This window comes from Homo sapiens, chromosome 4 (genome assembly GCF_000001405.40).
Source record: "Homo sapiens chromosome 4, GRCh38.p14 Primary Assembly".
Lineage (NCBI taxonomy): Eukaryota > Metazoa > Chordata > Mammalia > Primates > Hominidae > Homo > Homo sapiens.
Genome location: NC_000004.12, coordinates 108,331,453 through 108,340,210, shown reverse-complemented (window position 1 = coordinate 108,340,210; position 8,758 = coordinate 108,331,453). Strand labels below are relative to the sequence as shown.

General features: G+C 39.4%; 1 annotated feature.

The window, feature by feature from the left end:
• Positions 4,334–7,027: an enhancer, noted in NCBI's record as "VISTA enhancer hs1545". NCBI's record gives its function as "enhancer in: midbrain (mesencephalon)[8/8] | forebrain[8/8]" and the evidence as "EXISTENCE:transgenic organism evidence [ECO:0001131][PMID:17130149]".

Below are 8,758 nucleotides of genomic sequence, written 5' to 3'. Positions count from 1 at the left end.
CATCACAAGATTTTGACAGCCGGCATTAGCAAAGTTCTGGATTAACCCTTTGAATGAATTTGTTAAATGAGGATAAGCCTTCCCTCCACATTACTGTGTTTTCACAATCTTACAGAATTTGTTATCCACACCCCTACCTCCACCAGCAATTCAAATGTGCTATGAAGACAGTTGCCATAATCCCCAACATTTACTCATTGCTTATCATGTACTATACTAATGTTGTTCCGTGAACTATCCCATTTAATTCTCATAGCAAATCTATAAGTAAAAAATGTTTGTGTCTCCATTGTACAGATGAAGGAGGTTAAAGGGATTAAGTAACTTGCCCAAGTGTTCACACTGAGAAAAATCAGATTTCAGATCACTGGTATTTAAGGAAGAGCAGCCCTTGCTCAAATTAAGGAGGGTAATTATTTGTTTTGGTTACACGTCTATTGAGTTACACAAATTAGCATTCATTTTTGGAGCTAAAAATTAATTAATAGCATTTATTTAGATACAGTTAATATTCACCTTTCATATAAATTTTTCCTGTTTCTCTCTTTGTAACACCCAAACTGCCCCTCCTCTAAAAAACACTCTTAATAGAAATGTAAATAAAATCACTAATTGTATGTCATATTATGAGCTACATAGTTGAGCTGATGGACAATAGTTCCCCAAGTTCAAAATACCTTTCATCTACGCATTAATGGTGACTTATAAAGAGGCAGCTTGGGTTTTTTTAAGCTTCAGCTCAAAATATCCTTGACTGGGTGTGTTAAACCAAAGCACCTAATTAGAGATGACTTAAAGTAATACCTTCCTTTGTCACTTAATATCTTCTAACCACGAAAATCCTGAGGTTTTTACCTGTACCACAGAAACCTCACTTCCAAAGACATGATAATCACTGTAGGCTTTTAGCCTCCTGAACTCAGACAATGTGGAACGCCAGGACTCATCTCCACCGTTACTATAATGGAAAATTTCTGATTACCGCAATCTTCCAGCAGAGTTAAGTAGAATCCCACAACAAATATCCATTTAGAGAAAAGTGACTCACCAATGAATTAATTATTCAGAGGATCAGTGTAGATGGCATTTAAATGCTCAGTTTTTAGCCTCACATTGCCTGGGTTTGAATCCCATTGCCTCTACTAAGTATGTGACATTGGGCTAGTTTTTCAAACTTGCTAAATTGAATTTACCTCATTAGTAAAATATAGATGATAACTGGTGGAGACTGAAAGTTGCCCAGAGACCTAATGGGTTTAGATAAGATTTCAAAGAAGCCTGAATGTCTATAAATAAACGACCAGTGCCAGCACTGAAATCCTTTCTCTCACAGTAGTAGAATAATGGCTGAGTACATGCCTGCTCTACCAGACTGTATTTCCTTGTCTCTCTTACAGCCGGGTGCAGCCATGACTGAATTATCTCTAAGGGAGTAGGAATGGGAATTAGGTCAGGACACAGGGATCCTGGGGGTGCACTCCTCATGCTCTCTTTCCCCTTTCTCCTGCCTATAGATGGTAACAACTGCAACAATTATGGAAGACACATGCTGAGGAACCACCCCAGCATCCTGGGTCCCTGGATGGAGCAGAGGCATATATTTACGAGACTTATGAGAAAAGCAGACTTCTATCCAGTTTGAGTCATTACATTTTGGCGTATTTATATAATAATAGTATCTAAATTATAAAATACTTACAAGGGTTGAGAAAGGTAATTCATGAGCTCTTAGCACAGTGTCTGGCACTTCATATAACAAAGCATCAGCTATTCATGTGAGAGATAGTGTAGGGGGTAACAGGGGAACTTTGCACCCAGAATCTGTGTTCAAATTCCGGCTGTTTCTTAAAAACCTGTTTAAACAGAGAGATGCTTTGTAGTAGGGAAAGAACGACATGAGAAGTTTCCTTCTTATTCAGGATCTGGCTGAGAAAACCTGTGGGCAAAGTTAGGGATTCTTTGCATTATCATCCTGATGTTAGTTCATTTCTGCAGTGAAACCAAGCTACTGCAGAGTTCCAAGTGCTGTGACTCAGAAGCTCTCAGCTGACCCAGAAAACCTTCAGCCAGATTATAGAAGACACAAGGTCAAATAGATAAGAATCTAAAAGCCAAACAGAAGCCTCTAATTAATGCCAACAATCTGCTCTTTATAGCTCCAGTTTGGTCACTAGTTGACTGTTAAATTAACTGTAGTTCATTTCCTGGTACAGTCAACTTACAATTAGACATAATAATGAAGGGAAGTAATGACATTCATGATTTAAAATAGCAAGTAATACAAAAATAATTTTATTTGGCTTTGGAATTGTCGGCATGTAGCACATACACGTATATTTACTCTTTATCATATACACAGGGAAATGCCCCCTCCCAAAAGAATTGAAAACAATTGGCTATCTCTGTTTTTCTGTTGCTAATTTTCTATTCCTGTGATTAACTTTACACAGGACTAAAATAAAATTATTTGCTTTCTTACTAGTGTGATTATGTGAAATCATTCCTGGACTGGTATTTTATTAAAAGACATTCAAGCATCTTTTAAATCTTAACTTGACTCATCAGGTTTCTTGAAAATGTGAACTGTATTTCCTCCAGCACAATCACAAACTCCATTCTGGTTGGGGCTGAAAGATCCTGTCCAGGATGCTGTTGTCCAGCTACGTCTCTCTACCCACTCCCTTCTGTGTATGTGCCCTATTACAAAAGGAGAGTCAATGGAGAGACCTGAAATTCTTTAATGAACCGTTTTCAGTTTGGTTGTTTCATTTCTAAGGAGCTTCACTTTTAGTGGGGCTCTTCAGGAAGAAAGGTATTTAAGGACTACAGGAGACGATTTGTTTCCTAACCTTTTGACCCAAGTCAAGGGTCTGGTTTTCTCCAGGCACATTCTATTATCAACAGCAGGATATACAAGACCACAGAAGTGTACAGAGGGGATAATTAACATTGGGAGGAAAAAAGTAACCTGCACTCCATAGCTACTGATAAGAAAGCAGCAGCATTGCCTCCTAAATCAGCTCCTGGAAACTCAAAGAAAGTTGGGTGAGTAAACATCATTTAATATATTCCCCTCCCTTTAAATGTTTCCCTTAAATTCTCATATTCTGCTGGTGTTAAAAGCAATTTGGTAACATCTAATAATGGGGAAGATATATGTCCCTAAGGACCAGCAATTCTACTCATATATATTTATACTGAATTATCTCTAAGGGAATAGGATCTGAGCCAAACAGTATAAATGTAGACAAGCACTTACCTATACACAGAAGAACACACACAGGTATGTGTTTACTGGGGTACTATTTAAGTAGAAAAAAGTAGAAATAGTCTAAATGTCTACCAATGAGAGAACGGAAAAATTAATTCATGAAATGGACATTCAAACTGCAGTACAAATCTATGTCTCTTTGTTTATAAAAATGTATAAATATGACTAAATATAAAAACATAATATTAAGAGAAAAAGCCAATGGTGGACTTATATGTTAAATATAATACCACTTATATAAAAACCAAATTGTATAAAACAAAACTCAGTATTGTTTATGAATATTTATAGCTATTATCATAGCTATACCATATTTGAATTTCAAAAAAACATGTCGAGAATTGTTAAAACTCAAATTCAGGACAGTAATTATCTTGGGGCAGAAGGGGGAAGGTAAGAAGAAGAATGGGCTCAAGGAGAGGCACTGAGTAACTCAACACAATTCTGAGCGGTTTATTTCCTACCATCAGAATAAACCCTGCAAAACATTAAAATTTGTCAAAGTTCTGTGACACATCTATGAGTGTTCATTATATTATTTTCTAGATTTTGCTTATGCCTGAAATGTAGGACTTTCCAAAAGAGTCTCTTGGCAGATGGATATGACTGGATGTCATTGCCTCATTTCTGCTTCTGGAATGTTGTCCATTGCTTTTTCAGACAGTGGAGCTATGAGTGAGTCAGCCTGTGGTTCAGGTAATGTCCCAAGCTCTTCTTAACTGCCATGGAGCTGCAAGCAGTAGCTAGCAATGTTGTATATCAAGGATTTATGGTCTAGACTTAGTCCTGAACATGCACAGCCTCCCATATTCCTCAAAACAATTTAAGGGAGAAAATACAATTGTTATTCCCATTTTATAGATGAAGAAACCGAGTTGTTGAGAGTGATCTAGCCCAGGTTTCCTGGTGAGTGGAGAAGCCAAGAGTCAAACTATGCCCTCTTAGACTCTAGCCACCACTTTATACTCCCTCCTCATGATTGGTGTCCATTGTCTTTACAAGTAATATTGTCCAGAATTGTCAGGTTCAAAAGGTCACTTAAGTTCCCAATATAGGAGTTATGGGAATCAGTGTGTAGCAACCCTCTGACACTGGCTGTGGCTCCACAAGGAACCTCACTGCTTCACACCTGCCTGGCACAGCTGCCACTGCATGCTCGGGAGAGCACCCCCGTGAACTTGAAAGCTGTCCTCCAATAAGACCTTGATGCGTCAGTCAGATGGACCAAGGCCTCTTGTCATGATAGCTCAGGAGGCAGCTACGTTCATTCACAGTTTACATCTATTCAGCAACAGGCCTGAAACAGAGACGTCGTAAATCCCATCAAAATCTCCTCCATTATGTGACACACTTTGTTAGAACAGAATAAGGGGTTCGGCTCTGTTGGACCAAATCAAGTTGGTCTATGTGGAGTATCACATTTTAGATTCAAATCCCTGTTAAACCCTCTGCTTAGGCTCGTGGTTAACAATATTTTTATATCTGTCTGCAGAGATGACAGGCAGCCCAGCTCTCGAGCAGGCCTAGAGGCCTCTGCACGGCTGTTTTTAGAGGCAGGCTCCATAGATGAAAGGCAGAAATCCCACCACCCCAGTGTCTCCTGATTAGCCCGGAGAAAAGCTGAATGACAAACATGTTTCCAATCTGCCTGGCCCATGCAGGGAAATGGGGCAATCTGGCCTGAAAAGGGATTTAGACTTTTGTTGTGTGCAAGGGAGGGGGGTTGGAGAAAAAAGCTGATTTAAATCCATCCACAATGCTTTCCCACTTGGTGAACTCTTAGATAAGAAACAGCCTGGCTGTGGTTCAGACCCCCACCACGCCCGTGCATCTTCCTTCTGCCTGCGTCACTGCTAGGTGATCTTGGTCCTCTCAGACAAAGTCGGATACTATAGAGATGACTGCAGCTGGACATTTCAGAGCACTCACCCTTTTGGCCAGAAGCCTATGTGCTTGTTGATTAATAAAACTGGCATAGAGCAAAATCCTCTATAGAATTTCTAGGCTAAAATAAGCATCAGTAACAAGGTATACACTACCTAGTTAGCTCTTTGGTTGCTTATGCTAATCACACTACAGTACACTAGTTTCACAGTAGTATAAAATACTACATAAAATGATTGCAAGGCTTATGTGGCAAATACTGAGTTAAATATGTGATTTATTTATTGGACACATTGCATGAAAACAGAATATTTTCATTTCTCTCTTCCTGATACAGAGAAGAGCCCCACAGATATTGAAATTATATACAGTTGATACAGACCTTCTTTTAACCATATAAGTCAATAAATCATCTGCCACATTTTATTACATAATTGTATATTCAGGTGGGCAGGGTTTCGGTGCTAATTTCTTTTTAACCCACAAGCCACATAGATGGCAACACTGTACTCTGATAACATTTATTCTGGCTTCAAACAAATCATCCTTTTCCTTTCTCAATGCATACACCCGGGTATCAAACTGATGGAATAAAGGGTAGGGTTGAGGGGAGTCTGTCCCCTTCAAGAGTCCCTTTCTTAGGGTGTGGTATATAAAAAGCACCTGTAAGATGGCTGCCTGCCACATGGCCATGGCTGCCTGGGTACAGCTAAGGCGCCCTGCTCTGCCGGCATCAGCACAGGGCTTCTTCAAACACAATTATCAAGAGAGTCCTCAGTGACCTCTTATTGCTGCCGTATTTGGGAAATAGCATTCAGATGCAGATTGGCTTAAATCCTATCAATCCATTCAACCATGTGTGTGAGTGTGCTTGTATGTGTGTATGCACACGCGCATTTGTGAACACACATCACACATGTATTTGCACTTATATAAGTTCTCCGTAGGGCATTTAAACCCCCCAACCTAAAATGTCCAAATGAGGAGAAATGATTATTTTCCCAGGCAACTTTGTCAATTGCTCCTGTGCTCTTCTTATAAATATTTCATAGCAAATATTTAACATGATTCTTTCCCCAATCGGATCAGCTTTGAAATACTCCTCAAAGTGAATTCTCCCCCAACAATAGCTTGATGCAAAAGCGCTTTTTTTCTCTCTCTTAAGCACAGGGTCTGCTGCCATAGCAGCATGAATAGTTCTTATTTAATGGAAAAGAAAAGATACTTTCCATTAATTCAGTAGGCAGTGCAGGTGGGGGTGGTGACAGGCACAGCACATGCGTACCTTAGGCTTCCAGTATGGAGGCGCAGCCTACCTTGACCTCCCCTCCCCCAGCATGCCTGCGATTACTACCCAGCCGACATTAGAACTGTAATGGGAAGTGACAAGTTTATGTAAATGATCCACATACGGATTTTGCTCTTGTAAAACAGAGCAGTTATTCTGGGCTTTCTAATTATTTCATGCCTCGTGGTTCTCTGATGGGGCAGAGATGACTATACTTGAAAAGTACCCTGTGATTGACAGACTTCTGTCCCCCTGGAGCTCATTAGGGCTTAGGCTTTGGAAGATGGGAAATAACCCTACCAGGCACCAAAAAAAAAAAAAAAAAAAAAAAAAGAATTCTCCCCAGCACCAGTGATTCTGTAAGATTCATTTGTTCAGATTTATGTTTTGTTGGGGAAACAGTGTTATCAGAAAATTGCACTATTGCTTTCCTGATCCAGCCAGACTCTCTGCTTTGGTGCTTTTGATTTTTAAAACCTACGTTTAGAGCCACACCAGCTGTATGATGTAGAACTTGAAGGGTATGAAATGCCAGTGGAATTCTTCACAATGAACTATTCTGAAGAAGAAAGTGGGGAAGGAGGGAGGTGAGAGGAGCAATATGCCATATAGAGCAGCTATGGAATCTAACTGGACTTGAACCAGTGTTATCATTTTATAGACACAGCGTGACCTGTTCCTAAGTCAAATCCACAGAGACATCAATGAAGGGAGCAAATAAAATTGAATCATTGATTAGGAAAATCTGACTATCCTCTCACTTGAAATACACCCTGAAGAGAAAGAGAAGAAAGTGCTGGGATGGGGGAAGATTGTGAAAAAAATATCCATAAGCTGGAAAGATTTCAAGGTTCATTTATTTTAGTCTTCCCATTTTATGGGTTAGAAAATTAAGAGGCAGAGTGGTCATATAGCTCACTAGCAGTATAGCCAGTATGGACTGCAGCTTTCTACCCAGTACCCGTTTCTCTGGCGCAGAACCAGGAAGGGGATAGGATCTGGGGAGACCAGGAAACAAGGTCTCCAATGGGTAAGGTTCCAAATTAAGGAAGCCAAAATTGTTAGTCTCATTGTAGTAGGGTCAGATTTTTATCCACCACACTGAAATATGTAAACATTGGAGCATTCTTTATGTTTCTATAACTGAGTAGTAAGGAAAAAATACTTAAACTTCCTAATTAAAGTAAGTTCAGTGTCTCTCAGTATTAAAAGTTTCATTCAGGTTGGTTTATTTTCATTCAAGTTCAATGGCCATTTGTCTTGTCTCAAAACTTCCCCAATCCCCATGACTACTTTCCTAAGAAGGCATCTGCGTATGTTATGTGCCTGTGTTGTGACTAGAGGGACTGCTTGGGCTGCCCTCTGGTCTTCCGATGCCTCTTCAGCTTGTCTGTTGTCAAGTAAACACATATGCAGATAGCCAGCTTCCCTTCCCGTCATCAATACAAATGCAAGAAAATGTGCCTCGAACCAAAGAAATCATCTTAGAACCTAAGAGAGAGAGAGAGGGGAGAGAATATTTATTCAAAATGCAATTGTGTTAAACCATGTTACTGAGATACTTTCTTTATATTTTGCAAATTTCAGTACCACCACATACCCTTATGTTGTCCTTCCCTGCCTCTATCACTGACCTCATGAAGGGATCATAAGGAAGTTTGAGTCAGTCATAAAAAATTGTTACCATTAAATGCACATCTGAGCCCAACGGTATAAATTTTCACTGCCTGCTGTATATAAGCAACACAGAGTCAGAAAAGAAGGCACAGACCATGAAGGGGTGCATGTAAACCAAACCAGGCATGAGAAGATGGAAGTGTGGAAAGGAAAAGAAGGCCACTCTGTAACAGAGGCATGCCACAAAACCTCCAAGTTAAAGAACACAGAAAAGGAGGAAAGCAGCCTAACTCATTTTAGGAGGCTAATAAAACGTTGATTTCTAAAACCAGTATGGACAGCACAAGAAAAAAATTGCAGGTCTATTTAACTTATGAGTATAGGTGGAAAAATTCTATATAACATGTGATCTAAGTAAATACCAAATAATGTATTTAACAACAAGCCAAGTGTGGTTTTTCCCAAAAATACAATGGTTTAATATCAGAAACCCCAGTGTTAAAGGAGAAAAGAAAGAAAAACATCTATGAATGCAAAAGAGTTTCATGAAATTTATATTTCCTTGTGATAAAACAATAACAATCTCAGTCGCCAGGAATAGAAGAGGACTTTCATTTGCTATAGATGCTATACCAAAAAAGTAACATCAACATGATAGCTGGTGGATAAACCTCAGGCTCTATTCCTTTAATATCTGG